Genomic DNA, 24,172 nt, shown 5'->3' with positions numbered 1-24,172 from the left:
AAGATTATTTTGTCTATTGACTTGCCTTTGCTTCTTTGTCCAAGATTAGTTGGCTATATTTGTGTGGGTTTAATCTTGAGCTCTCTATTCTGTTCCATTGATCTATTAGTTTATTGTTTTGCCAAATACCACACTGTCTTGATTATCAAAGCTTTAGAGTAAGTCTTAAAATTTGGTAATGTCAGTCTTTTGACTTCATTCTTCTTTTTAAATATTGTGTGGGCAATTCTGGGTCTTTTGCCTCTTCCTATAAGCTTTAGAATCAGTTTTTTGATGTCCTCCAAATAACTTGCTGGGATTTTGACCAAGATTGCGTTGAATCTATAGATTACATTGAAAAGAACTGATGTCTTGACAATTTTCAGTTTTCCTATACTTGAACATGGACTATCTCTCCATCTTTTTATTTCACTGATTTCTTTCATTGCAGTTTTGTGGTTTTTCTTATATAGATCTTGTACGTATTTTATTAAATTTATACCTAAGCATTTAATTTTTGGAGAAGATAATATAAATGGTATTATGTTTTTAATTTCAAATTCCACTTGGTCTTTGCTAGTGTAAAGAAAAGCAATTGATTTGTGTATATTAACCTTCTACACCGTAACTTTACTATAATCTATTAATTTGTTTTGTTGTTGTTGTCATTTTTGTTTTTTTGCTTTTTAGAGACGGGTCTTGCTCTGTTACCCAGGTTGGAGTGCAGTGGCACAATCATAGCTCACTGCAGCCTCAAATTCCTGGGCTCAAGTGGTTTTTCTGCCTCAGCCTCTCAAGTAGCTGGGACTACAGGTGCACACCACTGCACCTGGGTAATTTTAAAAATTATTTTTGTAGAAACAAGGTCTTGCTTTGTTGCCCAGGCTGGTCTCGAACTCCTGGCCACAAGCAATCCTCCTGTCTCAGCTTCACAAAATGCTGGGATTACAGTCATGTGCCACTGTGCCTGGCCCCAGGAATTTTTTTGATGTTGTTGATTCTTTCAGATTTTCTAGATAAACAATTATGTCATGTGTGAATACAGTTTATTTCTTCCTTCCCAATCTGTACATATATTTTCTTCTCTCATCTTACTGCATTAGTTAGAACTTCCAGTATCATCTTGAAATGTGAGTGGTGAGAAGGGACATCCTTGCCCTGTTCTTGATCTTGGCAGGAAAGCTTCTAGTTTCTTATAAACAAACGTTTTGAAGACAAAAACTGAAATTTCTACCAACAGACTTAACATCAAAGAAATTTTTTAATGAAAGTTTTTTGTTTCCAAAATGAAAGAATTTTGGAATTTTGCTTTGGTTTATGCGTCTTTGTTTTGTTTCACCTGCCATTCTCCATGACTGAAAGTTGATGGTGGTAGCTCAATAGTCCATGTTTTCTTAGTTGCTTATTATGTTCTTTTTAAAAACAACAATAGTACTTTATTGGGTACCATTTACATATGGCAATATGCAGAAATACTAAGTGTACAGCTTAATGACTACACAAACACATATGTGTAGGTATATGTATATATATATATATACACATATACATACACACTAATAAAATTTAGGTAATGCTGATATTCTAATATTAACAGAATACACTTTAAGGATAAAAGCATTAAAAGATTTTCTTGGGCTAAAATAACTGTGAGATCAAAACCAAGGAAAATTATAGATTAATATCCTTTATGAATATATATGAAAGTTACCAAGGAAATATTCACAAACTAAATTACCCAACGTACATCAGGCTCAAGTTGAATTTGTTACAGGAATGCAGGTTGATTAAACGTTCTCAAGTTTATTACTCTAATACTACCTTAACAAACTATGAAGAAAGAAAACATACAATTATCTCAATATGTAAGGCAATTATGGAGAAAATTTTAAAACTTAATTGGAAATGCATTATCGAGTTTCAGGTTGGACAAAGGACTTACAAGTGAAAGGCAAAACTTTAAAACTTTTAGAAGGAAATAAAGGAGAATAAATTACCTCATAATAGGTAGGAATTTCTTTAATAAGACATCTAAAACAAATCATAAAGAAAAAGGTTAATACATTGAACTACATTAAAATGAATAATTCTATTCATCAATAAACCCCAATTTGTGACATACATACCTAGCAATGGATTAGTCTCCAAAATATATGGAACTCAAAAGATAATTTTTAAAACTCAAAATCACTGAAAAAAGCACAGACAACCTAATAGAAAAAATGGGCAAAAGACAAAAATGGGCATTTTCCAGAAAGACAGCAGGACTGGCAACAAACATATGGGAAATGCAAATTAAAATAACATAAAATACTACTTGTACCAATCACACCAGCAATAATTAAAAAGTTGGATAATAAAAAGTGTTGGAGAGATTCTCAAGCAATAACAGAAGGCAAGTATGAGTACAGTTGGCCCTCTGTATCCATGGGTTGTATATTCATGGATTCAACCAACCATGGATAGAAAATATTTGGAAAGAAGAGGGAGCTTGCATTTGTCCTGAACAGGTACCAACTTTTTTCCTTATCACTATCTCTTAAACAATACAGTGTAACAACCATTTACATAACATTTACATTGTATTGGGTATATTAAGTAACCTAAAGATTAAAGTATATGGGAGGGTATGCATAGGTTATATGCAAATACTATGCCATTCTACATAAGGGACTTTAGTATCTGTGGATATTGATATCTATAGGAAGTCCTGGAACCAATCCTCCACAGATACTGAAGGATAACTGTATAAATTAGTACTCTGGAAAACGAGCTGGCATTATCCAGTAAATAAAGTTAAAGGTGCCCATGTCCAATAACTCAACAATTCTACTTCTAGGTAGATAAACCTAGATAAACTTTTGCATATGAATACCAGGAGATATACAAGAATGTTCAAGGCAGGCGTGTTTGTAAGAGCCAAGCAGACACACAAATAAATAACAGTCTATAAAAATTTCAATATTCACCCAAAGCAAAAATAAATTATGCTGTAAATTATAACATATTCATAAAATGTAATACTCTATAGTGATGAAAAATGAATTATTCCTACATGCCTCAACATGAACAAATCCCAGAAGATAATTTTTTAAATACATTTTTATTGTATATATTTAAGGTATACAATACGATGTTATGGGATACATATAGATAGTAACATATAGTGAAGCAAATTAACATATCCATAATCTCACATAGATACCTATTTCTTCTTTGTTTCTGTGGCAAGAGTAACTAAAATCTACTCAGCAGGTTTCCCAAATACAGTGCAATTTTATTACCTGTATTCCTCATGATGTACATTAGATCTCTAGTCTTATTCAGCCCACATATTTGACCTACATCTCCCTATCCCCTGCCCATAACAACAGTTTTATTCTCTATCTCTGTATATTTGGCTTTTTATTTTAGATTTCACAAATAAGCGAGATAACACAATATTTTTCTTTCTGCGTCTGACTTATTTCCCTTAGTATAACATCCTCCAGGTTCACTATGTGTGGCAAATGGCAGAATCTTCTTTTTCAATATTGAATAATATACATTCAGTGTAAGAGAACTATATGTGTATGTATATGTATATATCACAGTTTATCCATTTGTCCATTAACAGACACATAGGCTCTTGTCATATCTTGGCTATTGAGAATAGTGCTGCAATGAACATGGGAGTGTGGATGTCTTTACGAGGTGATTATTTCATTTACTTTGGGTCTATGCTCAGAAGAAGGACTGCTTGATCAGATCATGATGGTTCTCATTTAAATTTCTTTAGACATCTCAATATTATTTTTCATAATGGTTGTACCAATCTATAACCCCACCAAGAATGTACCAGGGCTCCCTGTTCTCCACAACTCCACCAAAATTTGTCTTTTGTTTTTTTGATAACAGCCATCCTAATGGGTGTGAGGTGATATCTCAGCGGTTTTGATTTGCATTCTCCTGATGATTAATGATGTTGGGTGCCTTTTCATATATCTGTTGGCCACTTTCATGTCTTATTTGGAGAAATGTCGACAAGTGTTCTTTTCCCACTTTAAAATCAGGCTATTTGCTTTCCTATTATTGAGTTGTATGAGTTCTTTATTAATTTTGGATATTATCCCCTTATCAGACACATGGTTTGCAAATATTTTTCCCAATCAATAGGCTGTCATTTTATTTTGTTGGTTATTTAGTTTGCTGTGCAAATCTTTGTAGTTCAATGTAGTCCCATTTATTTATTTTTGCTTTTGTAGCCTGAGCTTTTTTTTTTTCCATTTTTTGGTGTGATATCCAAAAAATTATTTCCAAGGCCAATGTCCAGGAGCTTTTTGTGTTCTCTTTAAGGAATTTTATAGTTTTAGGTCTTATATTTTATAAATTTTGCATATATGTGGAAATTCAATTTTCCCAGCACTATTTATTGAAGAGCCTAACCTTTTCCCACTGTATCCTCTTGGTGTCTCTGTCAAAAATTAGTTTACTGTATATGTTTGAATTTATTTCTGGACTCCATTCTGTTTCACTGTGTCTGTTTTTGAGTAAGTACTATACTGATTTGTTTACTATAGCTGTGTAATATAATTTTAAATCAGGAAGTATGATACCTCCGCTTTTTTTTTTCAGAAGACAATTTTTAGTGAAAAAAACTGAGGTACAGAAGAAAACAAACAGCATGATTCTACATATGTAAAGCTGAAAATTATGTAAATTTAAGCAATAGATTGTTTAGACATATATACATTAGTTGCAAAAACTATAAAGACAAGGAAGACAAAATCAAACATAAAATTCAGGTATATTATTAGTAGCCCGAGGAGAAAGACTTGCAACTCCTATTTATTTTTAACCTACTCCTCTCCCAGCCCCCAATATATAGACATAGTTTAGCAGGGAACTCAGTGCATTGCAAATTGGACACTGAAAAAGTATTAGATAAACCAGTTTGTGTTGACTTTCCCTGGTGTTTCTTCTGATTGACTTCTTGACTTCATAAAATAACTTTTTTCACAAAGCGTGGAGTGGTACTAGAAGTAAAGAAAACTTATGTTTTCTAACAATTCTTCAGTTTCTCTTCTCTCCCCTCATGTAGGTCTACAGTCCTTCTAGTTATTTTAGAAATCAAAGCTGTGCTAGGAACAGCTACCTTGAAGATTTCAATAGTGTCTTTTCAAAAGCTTCCTCTCTGAACCTTTCAGATGAAAAGGAAATCATTTGGTCTTTCAAGTGGCCTGATTGAGACTCTACATCTGACAAATCCAACTCGTAATTTCGATTAAACCGTCCATGATCTCATCCATAATTAGCATAAATTTTTATGGTATGCTTCTTTTCAGTAGATGCATTTCTAAATAATACCTGAATCCCATTTTGAAAGAACTTATTTTATATGTACCAGAATTCTTGACTATAACTGTGAGATGTAGACTTCCAATTATGGGTTCATGCTACAGTTTATAATTGCACCATACATTTCCTTTTGTAAAAATTCATATTTTCCTCATGTCTACTCTTCTTGGAGCTCCACTTTTCATGAAGAGTATCTCTGCAAGAAGAGAAAGCTGGTTTCTCCATCAAAGCTGAGGAACTGGCATGTCAGTGTCTTGTAGGATTTGAACATTTTTTAACAACGTTTGAGCCTTAATCGTAAGAAAATAAACAGAAGTTAATATGAGCCAAGCAATATAGACCTCTTCTTTGGAGCATTCTTGTGCTTCGGTGTTTAAGATAGTCAGTGTCTGGTAGGTAACTAAAGTCAAAAAGAAAAATAGGGAGATTATCTTTCAAAAAATAATCATGAACTGATTTGTCATAAAATTTAGTATGTAATGCCAGAGAAAAAGCAGAACTATGTATAATTCACGGTTGTATACTTCCGTTTGTTCTTTGCCACTTCTTAGGTAGAGAGGAGTATATAAATTCTCTAAAACATGCAAATTAACTCATTTATGTAATTGATTACTTATAGTTAATAATTATGTAACCATTTATTTTAAAAGTATACTGTACCCACTTCTGAAAAGGCTTCGGGGCAGTTTACATATTAACCCATAGTTCAAAGGCACATTATCATGTCTCAGTACTAAATGAATTAGACCCTGGAAAACATAAAGGAGGTGATGCTCTCAAAGACTGGTTATGGTCAGAGTTTTTTGAATGGCTCCCACCTCAGACACTACCTCCTCCCTGTACTCTTAAGTGGCGGCTGCTTGTTCTTGAACCTTCCACTTAACCACATGGACTGGCTGGGCTGGTGGGCAGAAGCAGGAAGACTGACATGGGCAAGAGTGTAGACTTTGCAGATGACAAACTGCCTGGGTTAGACATGGCTATGTACCTTGGGCAAGTTATTAAAGGTCTCAGAGCCTCAGTTTCCTCATTTGTAAAATGGGAGTTACAGTATTGACCTCACAGATGAGAATTACATGAATTTAGTAAATGTAAATGTAAAGCACTTAGAACAGAACCTGGTAAACAGTAAGTGCTAAATAACCATTAACACTTGCTCATTCAATATTCCTCAAATGTCCTATGAAAATCCTTCTTCCTTTGAAACTTATGCCTCTCAAATTCACCATTGTCCATCTTTTCTTGTTGTTCTCATCATTTCCTGACATGGTTTATGAATTTTCTCTCCATCCCAAATCTGCCATAATCCTGGTGTCTTCAGTGTCCGTGTGGATGACCTTTCCAATACCCAGTGCCTTACCTTCAACATCACTGACCTTCATCTCCACACAGATATCAGCAACTCACCCCTTCCCCTTAGTATTACCTGGAGCTACTCCACCTATTCAACTTTCTTTCCATCAGCTCCTACAATCCTCATTGCTCCAATCATACCTGCTTCTCCTCCACAATTGTGAAGCCCCATCCCTCTCTTTCCTCTTCTGGTTTTACTTCCTTCATCCTGCTTTGGTTTAGCTCTTCAACCTGTCTCTTTAAACAATACTTCCAACTTCTCACTCTTCTTGCTTTCTTTTGCTTCTGCAACACTTACCCAAATGTGGATTGATCCATCCTTCTTTGCTCCTAAAACCACACTAAGTAAATCACTCGACCATGTGCACTAGAGCCATTAATTCTTGGTCTGTGTCCTCAACTGAGCCCTTAACAGTCTGGCAGCCTCCTCCATGCCCCTAGCTAGCTCTGTGTTTCTTTGCCAACCTTGCACTCCCCTCTTTGCTGAACTCTCGTATACATTCACCAAGTTCTAAACCATTTCCTAAGTATGTCTTGAATCTAAAAGCCCCTTTTCATTGCTTCTCCATTGAAAGCACAATTGAGCAGCACATCAGCTCAGTTGGTCTCCTTTCCTCCTCTCCAAAATATTCTTTCTGTTGCCAAAGTGATCTTCCTAATATGCAAGAATCGTCATGTTCAGCACATACTTAATATCCTTCAGTAACTCCCTACTGCTTTCTGAATAAGTCTCACCTATAGCTTGGCCAAGGTGCTTTGTGAGCAAGCCTCTGTTTACCTCTTTTAGATTCCCTCCCAATTCTTCTAACCTGCACCCTATGCACTCAATTACTTGTGCTTCCTCAGCTGTGCCATATTCTGTCACATCTCCATGTACCTCATATGCTACCTTCTTTGCAGGGAATGCCCTGTTTTTCTTTATCTACCTGGATAATTCCTACTGGTCTTTTTGGGTTCATTCAAGTGTTACTGCTTGTCAGCTCTGGTACAGCGCCTTCCCAGACCCTTCCTCTTAGAACCTACCACCAGGCTGGTTGAGTATCTCCCTTTGCTCTTCTGCAGTGCCTGTCTCTATCAAGTACTTACCATGCTTGCCAGCAATTGGCATACAGGAAATGGCTAGTAAATGAATGAATAAGTTAAGACATCTCATTTCCATAAAGTAACAATAAAAACTATCATAGCATTTCATTTTACATGTGCATTTGTAATAGAGATTTCAAAAACTGTGGAGCTGGTTTTGGTAGGGTATGTATTACAGAGTGACTGATACTCCAGTTATCTGGTTCCTGGGCAGCCCAAATGCTCAGGTAACTATCTTAGGAAAACCAAAGACTTGACTGAGGGCTACCACTTTCTGAAAAATGCTGGGAGTCCAACGGTTTGTTAGGCACCTAGGGGTGTCTTCTCATTCCCCTCCTGACAGCAAGATGGCTTCAGTAGCTGTGGCATCACATCCCTATGCAACAACACTTAAGAGTCAAACAAAGGTCTGTTTCTCTCTTGTGTTTCTTTGTTAAAGGGGCAACAAAAATCCTTTCCCAAACTCCTCCCCCATCTGTACTACCAGAATATTTTTCTCCAGTCTCACAGCCAAAACCAGGTCACATTCCAAACCTCTAAACTGGTTACAGAAATGGGGAATGGGGGCAGACCAATAAGGATTTACTTCAATCACTTAAGGGTCTAGGGCACTAGTACACAATTAAGGTCTGTCCTCAAGGACACAGAAGGAAATGGCTGTTGAACAGGCAACTCTCAGTCTTTGCTAAAACGAGTGTCATAGTAGAACAAATATTGGATTTAGAGTCAGGCACATTGTAATTTGATTTCAATTTCTGCTGTTTCCTTGTTGTGTGACCTTGGGCACCTTCCTTATCTCCCTGAGATTCAGTCTCCTCATCTATAAGATGAGGACACCAAAATCTGACTTTTAAGATTACCAAGAAGATTAAATAAGATAACATCTATAATGTTGCTAACCCACAATGAACATTCATTCACTTAAAAATATTTTTGAACACTTACTATGTGCCAGGCACTCTGCCAGGGATATAGGGGTGAACGAGACAGATATGATCCCCCTTCATAAAATTTATTAACAATTGATGTTAGTTTTTAAAAGTTTTCTAATTTTGCCAAGAAGTTCAGTTTTCTAATTTTGCCATGATGAGGACACCAAAATCTAACTTTTCTTTTCTTTTTTTTTTTTTTTTTTTTTTTTGAGATGGAGTCTCACTCTATCACCCAGTCTGGAGTGCAGTGGCATGATCTCGGCTCACTGCAAGCTCCGCCTCCTGGGTTCACACCATACTCCTGCCTCAGCCTCCTGAGTAGCTGGGACTACAGGCACCCGCCACCACGCCCGGCTACTTTTTTTTTTTGTATTTTTAGTACAGACGGGGTTTCACTGTGTTAGCCAGGATGGTCTCTATCTCCTGACCTTGTGATCTGCTCACCTCGGCCTCCCAAAGTGCTGAGATTACAGGCGTGAGCCACCGTGCCCAGCCAAAATCTAACTTTTAAGATTACCAAGGAGATTAAATAAAATAACATCTATAATGTTGCTAACCCACAATGAACATTCGTTCACTTAAAAATATTTTTTGAACACTTACTGTATGCCAGGCACTCTGCCAGGGATATAGGGGTGAACGAGACAGATATGATCCCCCCTTCATATAATTTACTAACAATTGATGTTAGTTTTTAAAGCTTTCTAATTTTGTCAAGAAATTCAGAAGCACTTTGATTACCTTGACGATCACTTTTTAAAGAAACCTAATGTCTCAGACGTGCTTACAGTTTCTGAGATTTTATATTTAATGTCTGATTCAAAACTTTTTTTTTTTGCTTTATTCTGTTTAATTAAAAGTTTCCCATCAAGAAAATGAAAAGACAAGCCACAGACTGGGAGAAAATGTTTGCAAAAGATATATCAGATAAAGGGCTGTTATTCAAAATACACAAATAAATCTTAAAATTCAGCAATAAGTACATAAACAATCCAGTTTTAAAATAGACCAAAGAACTACACAGACACCTCACCAACAAAGGTATAGATGGCAAATAAACATTTGAAAAGATGCTCCACATCCTGTCATCAGGGAAATGCAAAATAAAACAGCATCAAGATACTACTATACACCTATTAGAATGCCCCAAATCCAGAACCCTGACAACACCCAATGCTGGTTAAGGATGAGGAGTAACAGGAATTCTCATTCATTGCTGATGGGAATGCCAATGATACAGCCACTTTGGAAGACAGTTTGGCAGTTTCTTACAAAACTAAATATTTTCTTACCATATGATCCAGCAATCGTGCTCCTTGGTATTTACCCAGAGGAACTGAAAACACATGTCTACACAAAAGCCTGCACATGAATGTTTATGGCAACTTTATTCATAAGTGTCCAAAGTGGGAAACAACTAAAATGTCCTTCAGTAGGTGAACGGAAAAATAAACCGTGGTACCTGCAGACAGTAAAATAATGTTCAGCACTAAAAGGAAAGGAGCAATTCAGCCATGAAAAGACATGGAGAAACCTTAAATGCATATTACTAAGTGAAAGAAGACAAACTGAAAGTCTCCATGTGTATGTATGATTCCAACTATGCAACATTCTGGAAGGGCTAACCTATGGAGCCAGTAAAAGATCAGGGGGTGCCAGGGTTTAGGGGAAAGGGGGAAATGAATAGGCAGAGCACAGAGGGTTTTTAGGGCAGTGAAACTATTCTGTATGATACTCTAATGGTGGAGACATGTCATTATACGTTTTTCCAAAGCTATAGAGTGTACAATGTCAAGAGTGAACATTAATGTAAATTATGGACTCTGGGTGATAATGATCTGTCAATGTAGATTCATCTATTATAATAAATGTACCACTCTGGTGGGAGATGCTGATATTGGGAGAGGCTGTGAGTGTGCCAGGGACAGAAGATATATGGGAACTCTCTGAAAACTTTTGCTCAATTTTACCATGAACCTAAAGCTGCTCTAAAGAATAAAGTTTATTGAAACCCAACACAATTATCAGAGACATTTGTATTTTTATGAGTATACTATCACTATGAATACCATCCTGATTCCTAACCTAAAGATGACTTGCAAAGTGCAATTTTTAGAAAGTGGACAATGAAGACAATATCCAAAACAACCTTATGAGCCTAGAAAAAAGTCCAGATGTGATACATATGGTCACCTCATCTGAGTAGTCATGTACATGGTCCAGAGTCAAGGCAGATGCAATTCATAGGAAGGGTTAACCTCCACTTAGTAGGAACGATCAGGTAATTAGAGTGACCCATTCCCCAACCAGGTCCACTAATAGTTTTTCCTCTTTTATATCAAATAAACAACATAGTTAAGAGGGATTATCAAGATACATTTGCTATGTTTTGGTGATAAAAGAAAAAATGTTCTATTAATCACAAACTCTATCCCATTACAAAAGTTTACTGCTTTGAGTTGGACTGGGTTATTGTTCAGCAAACACTCCCTCCCACCTTTTCCTCAGAGTGGAATATATTTTCCTACCTTTGGGCTTAGCTATGTGACATGCTTTGGCCACTGGAAATTAGCAGGTGTGATGCAAGCAGCAGTTCTCAATATGCTTGATGCAAGCGCAGTTCTCAATATGCTTGAGTGGTGGACACATTGTCTTGTTCTCCAGTGATCTGCCTGGAGAGCAAGGCCTGGTTGGCCTCTGCCCCATCATCCTAAGTTGCAGAATAAAAAATGAGGAGGTGACCCAAACCCAACCCAAAACCTAGAACCAAAACCAGCCAACGTGCAACTTGAAGCAGAGCTGCCCAGCCTGGCTGAACCTCCATCAGCCCAGCTGAAGTTGCCTGTGAGTGTCAGAATAAGTGCTTGCTATTGTGAGCCACTGAGCTGTGGAGAATTTTGCCATTATGGTGGCAATAACTGCTTTACAGCTATAATCAGAAGTGTAAAGGTCAGGTTGTTATGACTCCTCTAATAGTAATGGACTTGGCTCCATTTACCTCACTCTGCATCTGCTCTATGAAACTAGGGATTCAGATTTCAAGGTGTTTTAGTGCCTTGAAGGACCAGCGGACCTCCATCAGATCCCTGTGAAATCTGAAGGGAGGTGGAAGGAGATGGAGATAGGTGTCCCTGGGGTTAGTGAAGAGGAGCTAGAATTTAGGTCTTCTAGGGCCATAGCAACAATGGGAAAAATGGTGGAAGAGACTATACCCACATTCAGGTTAGCAGGCATGCTATTCTGCGTTTACTTAAAAAAGTGGGATGTCCTACTTTGGAGGGAGATGTACAAAGAGTTATTATAGAACATAGGTAAGTTACGTTTTTTAACAGCCAACTGTTGAGATCAGCAAAACTATAACCTAGGAAAAGTGTCACTTTCGAGGTAAAAACTGCATATATTTAGAGAAATGATACATTGTATATGCTTGCAGTGGGAATGTAAATTGGTCTAAACCCTTTGGAAAACTTTGGAGTAACTGGGAGAACAAACTCATATTCGGTAAAGTTGAAGAAGATCATATCTTAAGAGACAGTGGTTTTGCTGCTGGGTATGTACCATAGACCAATGGGTCTCAACAGAACTAGTGCCACACCTGGGAGGCAGGTCTGCTTATAATAGTGATGGAGGGTGTGTGTGTGTGTGTGTGTGTGTGTGTGTGTGTGTGTATGTGTTACTGCCATTTAGTAGGTAAGGGCCAGATATCTTGTATGTCCTGAAATTTGGATGGTTTCATTCAAAAAAGAATTGTGCTGGGTCCTTCATGACTTTAGAAGGTCTAGTAGAACATTTATATAGGTGGGAAACCCGATTATAATTATCTAAGAGTATAACGTAACCCTGTTTTAGATATAAATGATAAGTACTCTGTAAGGTCTTATTGTATACCAAATTTTTCAGAGATGCAACTACTAGATAAAGGCAGCCTGAATTGTGTTTTGTTCAGAATGTTACCAAGAGTTCTTCACATTACCAATAGTTGCATCACTTGCAGTGCTTGAGTTACCAGTCTCACAATCTTCTATGACTCTGCATCTGTGAACTGCTTCATCATGTCTCCTAATGTAGTGGAGTGTATTTGTGGTTACTGACATATTGAAATAAATATTATTTTATTAAAATTACTGTTCTTACATTTTTAGTTTATATCATAGAAAGTGTATTGCAATGATTTTTTAAAATGTGTGCAGATAAGTTATGAATTTCATTTCAAGATAGTAAGTGGGATGATACAAAATATTTATTAATAAAAGAGTACATCAGGTCTGATTGTGGTAAGAACTACAGCCCAAGATTAATTCACATATGTACCCAAAGATAACACTAGGTAGAATTGTGTTCTCCAATACGATAGTTATCAATCTCACTAATTAAAACTAAACAGACTAAGAATGTGATTCTTCAGTCACACTAGCTACATTTCAAGTGCTCCATAGCCACATGTGGTGAGTGGCAACAGTCTTGTTGAGTGCAGATATAGGACGTTTTCATCATTGCAGAAAGTTCTTTTGGATATCTTTGGCAACAATATTTATGGTATCAAAAAACTGGAAACAACCTACAAATATCTCACTTATCCATTCCCCTTTTAAGAAGCAGGGGACATGGAGGAATGGATAAGTAAGGTGGCAGGGTACAGGGAAATGCATGAGTAAGTGAGATATTACACAGCAATGAAAAGGAAAGCTTATGTGTATCAACACAAATGAATCTCATAAATAACAATGAGTGAACAAAGCAAAAAGCAGACCTGCACTTTTACAGCATTTAAACATAAAATAGTACTATATGTGGTTCAGGGATCCATATGTAGCAAACACATTTTTAAAATGCATGAGATTGATAAATAAAAAATTCAGGTTAGCAGTTACCTATGGCAGCAAGGGAGGAAATGGAGGCTTACCTGCAATGGTAATGTTTCATTTCTTCATGGGTAAGGACGGCATACAAGAATTCATTATTCTTTATATGTTTTTGATATAAAGAATATGTTTTTAATGTATTTTTATATATTAAATATTGCAAAATAAATTTTTCAATGGAGGAACATTCATGAGCTCCTAAAAGCATGGAGACCTGTTTTGCTCACGGCTCTATCCTTAATGCCAAGCAAAGTGCCTGGCACAGAGTAGATGCTCAATTAATATTTGTTGAATAGTCAGCCAAACATATAAAGGAAAACTTCACATATTATAGTTTGGACTCTAACACAGATGTAATGTGCTTCCATCCCACCCAATCAGGGTATCCAGTAACACAAACTCTTTCTTTTTTAAGAGACAGGGTCTCACTCAGTTGCCAGGCTGGAGTACAGTGGTGTAATCATAGTTTACTGCAGCCTCAAACTCCTGGGCTCAGGTGACCCTCCCACCTGAGACTTCCAGGTAGCTAGCACTACAGGTACACGCCACTATGCTTGGCAAATTTTTTTTGTATTATTATTATTATTATTTTTGTAGAGACTGGGTCTCACTATGTTGCCCTGGCTGGTTTCAAACTCCTGGCCTTAAGCAATCCTCCTGCCTTGGCTTCCCAAAGTGCTAGGATAATAGGTGTGAGCCACCATGTCTGATCACAAACATTTTCTTAATCATACATTAATGTTACAAAGATCTATTAAGGGCCAGCTATAGGGCAGGAGCTCCTCCAGTGTTAGGGTTACAACAATGAACATAAACTAACTAAATATGGCAAGGGAGGGAATACAGATAATAAAGAAAAAATAAGTACGGTAGATAGTAAGTCACATGAAGATAAGTGCCCTCAAGAAAAATAAAGCTGGAAAGGGAAGGGGAAGAGGAAACATTAGATGTTAGGCACTATTAAATAGGGTAGTCATGTTGTTCTCTTTGAACATGTGATCTTTTAGCTAAGATTTGAAGTGAGGGAGGGGGTGATGAGCATGTGAGTGGGAGGGAAGAGCACATACAGACCTCAAGGCAATGGGTGCTGGGAAAAAGAGGCCAGCAGGGCAGAAGGAGCCTGAGTGCCTGGGAGAGGGTCAGAGACTGGGCAGAGCTTTCTAAATCACTGTAAGGACTTTGGCTTTTATTCTAGGTAATACTGAGGATTTGCAACAAAGGAATGATATCACCTGGCTTACATGTTTAACGAATCACTCTTTTGAGAATGAGTGATGGTAGGGAAGTAGAAACAGGGATACCAGTTAAGAGATTATCACAGTCATTCAAGCCAGAGATGATGGCAGCTAGAACCAGAGTAGCAAGAGAGGAGGTGATAAGAAGTAGTCAGATGCTTGGCTTATTTTGAAGATACGGGCACAGCTATCATGTATCCAGGGCATGAGAAAAAAAAAAAAAAAGAGCAGTCAGGGATAACAGGAAGATTTTTGGCTTGGAGCTGCCATTTGCTGAGAAAAGGCAGGGAGCTGGTTGGATGGGGGTGGAATTGCAGTTTAGTTTGGGACGTGTTAAGTTTGAAATGTTGACCAGGCACCCAGATGGAGTTGCTAAGTACACAGCTGGTATATGAGCTTGGGGTTCAAGGGACACATAGAAGCTGGAAGAATAAATTGGAGAGCCATTGGCATATAGGTGGTATTTAAAGGCAAAAAATAAGATCAGATCATCCAGGGAGTGACAGCAGCTAGCAAAGAAGAGAGGAAAAAGGGCCATGTCTTGAGGCATCGCAATGTATAGAAGTCAGGAAAAGGAGGGGGTGGAGGATCAGATAATGAGGTAGAAGACATCCACGCAAAGGCAGTGCCTTGGAAACCAAGTTGAGAAAGTACGTAAAGGAGGGGAGGAGTGCCCAACTGTGTCAAATTATGCTCAGGATTTAAGATGATGACAATAATAGACCATAGTATTAAGCAAAATGAAGGTTATGGAGGACCTTGCCTGGGCAGTTCTGGAGGAGTGGTGCGGGGGGTGTGAGACCCTTCTCATACAGGGCTCTGGAGGGAAAGGAATAAACAAGATAGACAACTCTTTTGAGGCCATTTTCTGCCTAATCTGACTTTTAGACGGAAAGAGAATCCATGTATTCCTGACTAAACAGATGCCAATACATACTGGAATCCAGAAATCTAAACATATCATATCTTATCTCAAAAGGATAGAACACAAAGCAGCAAGAAAAGTTCACTTAAGTATAAGAGTTTGCTTCACTTACTAGAAACAAAAAGAACCACCCAGAGAAACTGTCTGAACTAGGGATCCTGGTAGAAGAAATACTCACCTAAGTGAGTTGATCAACTTTCTCTAATTTTATATGATGCTAAATAAGCCACCTTTAGTTGTCATTGAATCAGATTTTCCCACTTGTACATTAGTGGTTGGAAAAATAGATTAGCTCAGCCCGATTATGTTATTTGCTAGAAAAGCCACTTATCTCATGAGAACTTTAACCCCAGGGACCAATTAACCTGTTGATTTATCCAGGATCAATACAGGTGATTCTCAGATAAGTCAAGCTTAATGTTCAAGAATCATGACAGAAAACCAGGTGTGTTCATGCATGCCTGTAGTCCCAGCTACTCAGGAAGCAGAGGTGGGAGGATCTCTTGAGCCCAGGAGTTCGAGGCTGTAGTGTGCAATGACTGCATCTGTGAGCAGCCGCTGCACTTCAGCCTGGGCAACACAACAAGACCCTGTCTCTTAAAAAAAAAAAAAATAGAACCCCCAGTGAGCTCAGGAGAGTTAATAAACAAGATGTGCCAGAACCACAGGCCTCCAACCCCTACACCTGCCTGCTCTCACCTTTATCCAGCCAACTATCTAAGGGGAAAGACTTAGATGTGAAAGACTGACTTTAGCTTATCATCAGAAATACTTTTGGACACCCTTCAACAGCTGCTGTCAGACCAAGAGCTGAAGAAAAAAGAATACACAAAGCAATTTCCTTCTCACAATATAGTAGTTTGCTAAGTTATTATAATATAACCCTGTGCAGTCCATTATAACAGAGGGTTAATTTTCTAATATAAGGCACTATTAGCTCTTCAGAAAATACAAGTTAAAACAGTGTCCAGAATTTTTAAGTAGGAATCAGTAAAGGAAGGAATACTTTTACAATTAAAAATTCTTATGGAATGGGAGCAAATTATTCTTAGAGCCGAGAAAGCTGAAAGAGCTAAGAAGGCAGACAATTTTCATCACATTTACTGAATTGAATAGTATTTATTGGATACATTCTTTCAATTTAAGTATTCACTTTGTAGAATTACCTATTTTAACAGAAAACAAAAATCTTAAAATGTGTTGCAAAAAGTCTTTTTTTTTTTTTGGTTGCTTTTTTGATGAGAATTTCCCATTGCTCCAAAAACCAAAATGCAATCAGATATTTTTAGTCTTTTCCTCAAACAGAAACTTTTCACATGAGCTCTTTATGTCGAGAGTAGAAAAAAAATGAACTTTTTGTTCTCTCTGAACATATACACCCTCTAGTGGTTCTAGAATTTAATAAAAAACAAGAATGAGAAATAACTGTATGAGCTAATAACTCAAATTATAGACTCTAGATAGAAAGAATGCCTTAACCCTCATGCAGTGCTGGTAGGAAGGTAAATTAGTAGAGCCACTAAGGAGAATAGCTTAGAGGTTCCTCAAAAATCTAAAAATAGAATTACCTATGATCCTGCAATCCCACTGCTAAGTACATATCCAAAAATAGGAAATCAGAATATCAAAGCTATATCTACATACCCATGTTTACTGCAGCACTATTCACAATAGCCAAGATATGGAATCAACCTAGGTGTCCATAAGCAGATGAATGGAAGAAGGCAATGGAATACTATTCAGCTGTAAAAAAGAATAAAATCCTGTCATTTGTAGCAACATGGATGAAACTGGATGACATTATGTTAAGCAAAATAAGCCAGGCATTGAAAGACAAACATCGCATGTTCTCACTCATGTGGGAGTTAAAAAAATTGAACTCATGGAGATAGAGAATAGAATGATAGTTACCAGAGCCTGGGAAGGGTAGTTGGGAGGCAGGAGATAAAGAGTGGTTGGTTAGGGGGTTCAAAAATACAGTTAGATAGAATAAATAAGATCTAGTGTTCAGTAGCACAATACTGCAACTATAGTTAATAATAATTTAATGTATATTTAAAAATAACTAAAAGAATGGAATTGAAAGTTCCTAACACAAATAATAAATGCTTGTGGTGATGAATATCCTAACTACCCTGATTTTATTATTACATGTTACATGCTTGTATCAAAATATCACACGTACCCCATCAATATGTACAACTAATATGGATCCACAATAATAAAAAATTATAAATGCCTTATAAAAATATTGCAAGGAGGGCATTATAAGAAAATTAGGGTTTGGCATATTAGAATATACTAGTCTGTATATTAAGTTTATCTTTGAATGTTGTCTGGGTATTGGCATATTAGAATATACTAGTCTGTATATTAAGTTTATCTTTGAATATTGTCTGGGTATCTGTGGATTTGACACATTTGTAAAAGTTAGGGGAGAAATTAGGAAACTATTCTGTAAGGAATAATCATAAAGTTATGTAACTCTGAAGAAAGAAATTAAACATCCATTTGTAACATAAAATACTTTTATACAAGCATTCAATATTTAAATGCATTCCATGTTATATAAAGAGTATACTAGCATTCAACATTTATATGTATTTCACTTTATCCTATGTATTCACAGTGTTCTAATACCACAAATTATAGGGCCTTAGAAATCAACCAGTCTGTTTTTCTCATTTTACAGGTAAGAAAATTGAAGCCAGGGAAGGTAAGTGATTTGCTGAAGGCCGCAGTCATGCCATGCAGTGGTAGGATCAGAATTCAGATTTCTTGAATCTCAACAAAATGTTTCTCCCACTACCCCAGACCAATGAAGTAAAAAGTGGTACCCACAGCAAAGACTAAAATCCAGACATATCAATAAATAATTTCATCGTTCTATGACAGAAACTAATAAGGGGACCCAATTTAGATTGGAGAACTTTTCCCTGCAGGCCAAAAAGAGAGTAAGTAAAGGAAATAAGCGGTTCAGGGAGCAGGGAGAATACAAAAGTGCATGAGCTTTCTCACTGCTGAGGTGAAAAAGAGTCCATGTTAGAAGAACTGAAAGATGGGCTGGAGTGTGGGGACCAGGGCAAAGTCCCCAAAAGGCTCTGGGGAGACAGACAGGCCCGCCCAAGCAGGCCATGTAGGTCTGGACTGGGTTTATCCTCACAGTAAAAAAATTTACAGAAGGTAGTTAAGCAAAGGGGGCATGTGACTATATTTTGACTCTTCGAATGTTTTTCCCCTTGAATATGCAAACTACATACACATTATCAAAGTCAAGAAAGTAGTATACATTAAAAATTATCTCCCTCTTATTCCTGTCCTACAACCTCCAAGTTCTCTGTCCAGGACCAAATACCTTAAATGTCCATCAGCTGGAGACAGGCACATCTGCATATAATGTGGCTCTTAAAAGGGAATTAAGAGGAATGAAGTCTATACTCTATTTGGTTAGGAATGCACAGTGTAGAATGGTATGCCTTGCATGCCACCTATGTAAAAAGTGGAAGCATTGTATAGAATGCTACTTTTTGGGTAAAAAAAAAAAAAAAAAAGGAAGAACTGCACATAAATGCTTGTCCATGCGTAGAGTACCTCTGGAAGGATTTGCAAGACAGTGTTGGCCCTTGGGAGGGGAATCAGCGACTGGGAGTTGGAGTGAAAAGCTGACTTAATTCTCATTCGATTTTCTGTTGTCTGTTTGAATCTGTACTATGTGCATGCCTTTTAAAAGCTTAGAAAGTAAACATGTAAAGAAAATCATTCCTCCCAGCTTCTTCCACACATGCTATCTCCCTCTTGTTCCCTTCACCTGCCTGCGGGAAGCTGGCCCAGCCTTTTGCCAGCTGCGCAGCCTCCACCCTCAAATCTGCACTCACTCTCTGATTACATGACCCTAGCCAACCTCCACTTTCTGAATTAATTCTTCACCAATTGATGTTGATGCCTTTTAGAAATGTTACATGCCTCATGGGAAAGCTTCTGCTTGAACTCTGTCCTGCTGATAATTTATTCTAATAACAAATTACATCATTCAGACTTCTGTTTATCACTCTTGCTTCCTATTCTTTCTACTCTGTCATCCCAAGTTTTCCTTGCCCATGGAAAACTGAACAGAAAACTGTAAGTAACTATTATAAAATGTTTATGATAAAAAGTAACTTGATTTAAATTTCAGTAGTAAAGCCAAGATAATTTTAAAGAGTTGAGGCTTGATAGGAACACACCTTTTGAAAGACCGTGAGACCAAAGTGCAGGAATGAGTTTGCCATGATGTACCTTTGATCCCTGAGAAATTGCCTTGTCCTAACATGTTCTGTTGCAGAAAAAGAAGTGGTAAAAACACATTTTAATAATGTATTCTATACATATATATAGAGAGAGACAGAGAATATATATACTATTGGCAACTCATTACCTAAAGTTAATATAGAGAAGTATCTATCGTATTATCAAACTACAGGAATCTGAAGCTTAGGGTTCTCCACAAAGTAGTAATTTCCATCCACAGTATTAACCTTCTAATCTTGGTTCTGTTGAGTTCAGCTACATGTTTTAAATTATTCTATTTCTCTAAATTCAGAAGACAAAAAACTTTTTTTGAGTGATACTTCCCTTCAACCAAAATGGGAGAAGGTAGAAAACTGTTAAACCAAGGACCTTTCTTAAAGTGTCTTCCAACACACTTATGGGATCAGTCATAATATTTATATATACTGAAGCACTTTGAAATCTCAAGCTGTTTTAACCAGCTGTCATTTTGGTGTTAAACTTCGGTCATTTTAATGTGAAACAAAGGTCAACAGAGAGTTTGTCTTATTCTTTTCCTATTAGTGAAATCCTTTATAGCTACTGAACTCTGCTTAAACTCCCAACAAAGTCACCATTGCATACTCCTGTTATCTAGGTCGCATGGAATATTATGATTGTTCACAAACAAAATACATAGAAGAAAATTAAAAAGATGAATTAGTATTTAAAGCATTATAAACAGCCAAACATACAAGCCGGTATGGTCTTTATATATTTGGCATTGATTATAATGACACATGTACATCTAAGAGTAACCTCTTGTATGTACACAGCACCAATTCAATTGTCTATGTATCTAAAATAAGACGGCATGGATACGTTTTCATTGTTCATTCTAGAACCTATACTGTAAAGATTATTTCAATTTTTGTTAAATTGTTGGCCTTTAAAATAAAGATACATTATTTATTTTTAAAGCTCATTCACTCAGTTTATTGTTTAATTACAAAATAGTATCTTTTGTCTTCCAATATGTATCCCTGGTTTACCTGGAGATTTTTTCTAAATTTTTAACTCTGACCATAAAGAAAATTAGCTAATATTCATCAGGATAGTAAATTGAACATAAGTATTTTATTATAAGAGTTAGCCATCATATAAAAAGTAAGGGCTTAGAATTATGCATTCAAATCATGACAAATGAGGAACAGTATTTGAATATACCCATGTAGTTCCCTTTAAATGAGCTTTAGCCTGTCTAAGTGATACATTCTTCTGTATAGTATTTTGCTATCGTTGGCACCTAGTTCATCCATCCATTGACCACAAATGTATTGAGCACCTACTATGAGCCAGGATGATTCTTAGTGCTGGAAAGCCAGTAGCGATTACAACAATAACTTACCCTCTGAGAACTTACACTTTAGATGAAAGAAATAAACACATGAACAAGTAAGTCATAAATTACAGACTAAAATAAGAAGGGTAATAGGACAGAGGGTGACTAGGGGAGGCACTATTGTAGTTGTGGTGATGGAGGCTGGCCTCTCTGGGGAGGTTGCATCTGAGCTGATGCCCAATCATGAGATGTCAGAACATCACTTTCCAGGGAGAAGAGGCAGCAGCAAGAACAAGAAACCTGGGCTTGGCATGTTCAAAGAGGAAGAAGGCAGCTAATTAGGGGTGAGAGGTGGGAGGTGAACTCAGTGAGATGGGCATGGTCCCTCTGAGGGGGGCTCTGTGGCCATGGAAGGAGTTTGTTTTCTGCTCTACTGGCAGTGGGACACCGCCACAAGGTCACTCTGGACACTGTGTGGAGACAGGCTGCAGGATGTCGCAAAGGTAGTGACTGTAGGAAAATAAAAAGCCTTTACAGCAATCCAGGCAAGAGAGGAGACGGATTTAGACTGAGGTTTAGCACAAGGTTTGTGTGTGGTGTGTATACGTGTGTTGGGGGGCAGGGTAGGCAGTAGTGGAAGCAATGGGTGCTATCAGGAGACTACTGAACAAATGAACCAGTATGGATAGCGTGGAACTGACTTTGAAGATAAAGTCAACAAAATTGCCACTAGATCAGATGTGGCTTGTGAAAGAGAAGAGTCAGGGGTGATTCCATGGGTTTTGGTCTGAGCAACTAGAAGAATGGAATCACCTGTTACTGAGGTGGGGGGAAGACTGTAAGAGGCACAAGTTTTGGGAGTAGGTAAGAATAGGGAGCTTGATTTTGGACATGGTAGATCTGAGGTTCTAATTAGATATCCAAGAGGAAATGTTGAGTAGGCAGTTGCATACATCAATTTAGAAGCTGAAAAGGGAGGTTGTGGCAGAAAATATACTTCAAGGAGGCATGGACTTTCATGAATCCCTTTGAAAGTCTGTTAAAACCCTCAGATTCCTTCTCTGAATAATTTTTTTTTTTTTTTGAGATGGAGTCTTACTGTGTCACCCAGGCTGTAGTACAGTGGCGCAATCTTGGCTCACTGCAAGCTCCACCTCCCTTGTTCATGCCATTCTCCTGCCTCAGCCTCCCAAGTAGCTGGGACTACAGGTGCCCACCACCACACCTGACTAATTTTTTGTAGTTTTTTTTTTTTTTAGTAGAGACAGGGTTTCACCGTGTTAGCCACGATGGTCTCAATCTCCTGACCTAATGATCCGCCCACCTCGGCCTCCCAAAGTGCTGGGATTATAGGCATGAGCCACTGCGCCCCGCCTGAATAATATTTTAAATGCATAAAATAAAACATTTTTATATTTTTGGTGTATCTAGAATTGGTATAAAAGAAAACAAATTATAAGAAAATATGTCATCAAAATATTTTAAAAGTTATTCTATAGTAAAATACATACTTTTAATTAACACATTAAATAATGATATCAATCAGTGAACATAGTAACCACAGTTACTTCAAAGAAGTCATGCACGTACTTATTTCAAGATATCTGTAAGAAGTGAAATGAGATGAAAATATCTGTAGATTTTTTTATTGGACAGCTACAGCTAATATTCCTATGGTTTGACTATCTAGGTTCACAATTGCAAGAAATACTAAATTTCATCTCCGGGTCAGTGAAGATAAAGAAAATGGAGAAATGTGGGCTTAAAGAGGAAGGCAGTTACACGGACATAGATCCAGGTAAGTTTGTAGATATGATGATGATGGGAGAAGGAAGAAATTCTCTTCTGTTGTTTTCATTTTCTTAGTGAAATATGATGCAAAACCACCAGTTCAGAGTGCGTGAAGGGGGACAGAGAGGAGGTAAGAAACAGTGATCTAGTTCTGCAGGTGAGTGAATGGATTTGAGCTACAGAGTCAGACCCATAAAGGCCATAGATTCGTGGTCATAAATTAAAATAAGGCCCCATCAGTGCAGTCATGTTTTTATTCAGCCAGATTTGGCTGCTCAGGTGGTGGCCACAGTTGGCAGGCAATCGAAATTATCTTTCAACCCGAGTTCATATGCGCGCATTTATCACCAAAAGGCCCTGAGCAAAAGATGATGAGACATGTCTGTTTCAGTGTAGTTTTATGTCTCTAGTTTTTAAATTATAAATAATTCAAACACTGGAAACTGACTAGTCCACTGGGAGCAGAGAAGTTCATTGCTAATAACTGGGGTGCATATTAGGTGAGTCTGTGCATCTTGGGCTCCTGTGGCTGATGATGCCAGGAGCTGAGTGTGAACACAAAAGTTTCAAGATTTATGGGACCTGAAGAGGCCAAAAACTTGTGGCCAGTCCCATATAACACAGCATACATCAAAGCAGTCCAGCAGGAACAAACACCACCCAACTGACAACTTTGTATACTTTTGCACAGTTTTGAAAGTGCTTGTAAAGTTACTCAAATCACAGTCACCCTATTTTTATTTACAGATTAAATCTGTATGAAAATTTAAAAGAGACAAATAAATCATCAAGAAATTTGTGCCTGTTTAAATATCTTCAATCTTATTCCTGCATTTGGCAAATAATTTCCGTGTACATGCTCTATTTCTTTATCAAGTCTTTTATTTACATGTTCGTTTCAATGTTGTTTTAGAATTCCAGTTCCTTGATAAGGAGTCATGTCTGTATTTAGAAAAACCCAGTGTTTCCTACTGTATCCTGCATCCAGGGAACATTAATCACCAGCATTTTCAATTTTATACAAAGTAAATTTAATTTTCATATGAAATACCTCCATCTCAGTCACTGGGTTCTATTTTATTAATTAA

At 37.3% G+C, this 24,172-nt stretch overlaps 1 long non-coding RNA gene across 10 annotated transcripts in view; it reads right to left on the bottom strand.

The window, feature by feature from the left end:
- LOC124900169 (uncharacterized) overlaps nt 1-24,172 on the bottom strand; it is a 109,752-nt gene that overhangs the window by 32,022 nt on the left and 53,558 nt on the right. For 3 of the 10 annotated variants that reach the window (XR_007058346.1, XR_007058339.1, XR_007058345.1), the window contains 4 exons: nt 19,930-20,018; nt 17,351-17,449; nt 11,213-11,394; nt 3,064-5,716 (listed from right to left, as the gene is read on the bottom strand). The exons of 2 other annotated variants lie outside the window; for them this stretch is intronic. This is a non-coding gene — a long non-coding RNA (uncharacterized LOC124900169). Of the gene's footprint in view, nt 1-3,063; nt 5,717-11,212; nt 11,395-17,350; nt 17,450-19,929; nt 20,019-24,172 lie in introns of those variants that run through there. 5 more of the 10 variants (XR_007058338.1, XR_007058340.1, XR_007058341.1 and 2 more) reach the window with 3 other exon arrangements.

Source organism: Homo sapiens, chromosome 4 (assembly GCF_000001405.40).
Source record: "Homo sapiens chromosome 4, GRCh38.p14 Primary Assembly".
Classification (NCBI taxonomy): Eukaryota; Metazoa; Chordata; class Mammalia; order Primates; family Hominidae; genus Homo; species Homo sapiens.
This window is presented reverse-complemented; position numbering and strand designations above follow the sequence as displayed.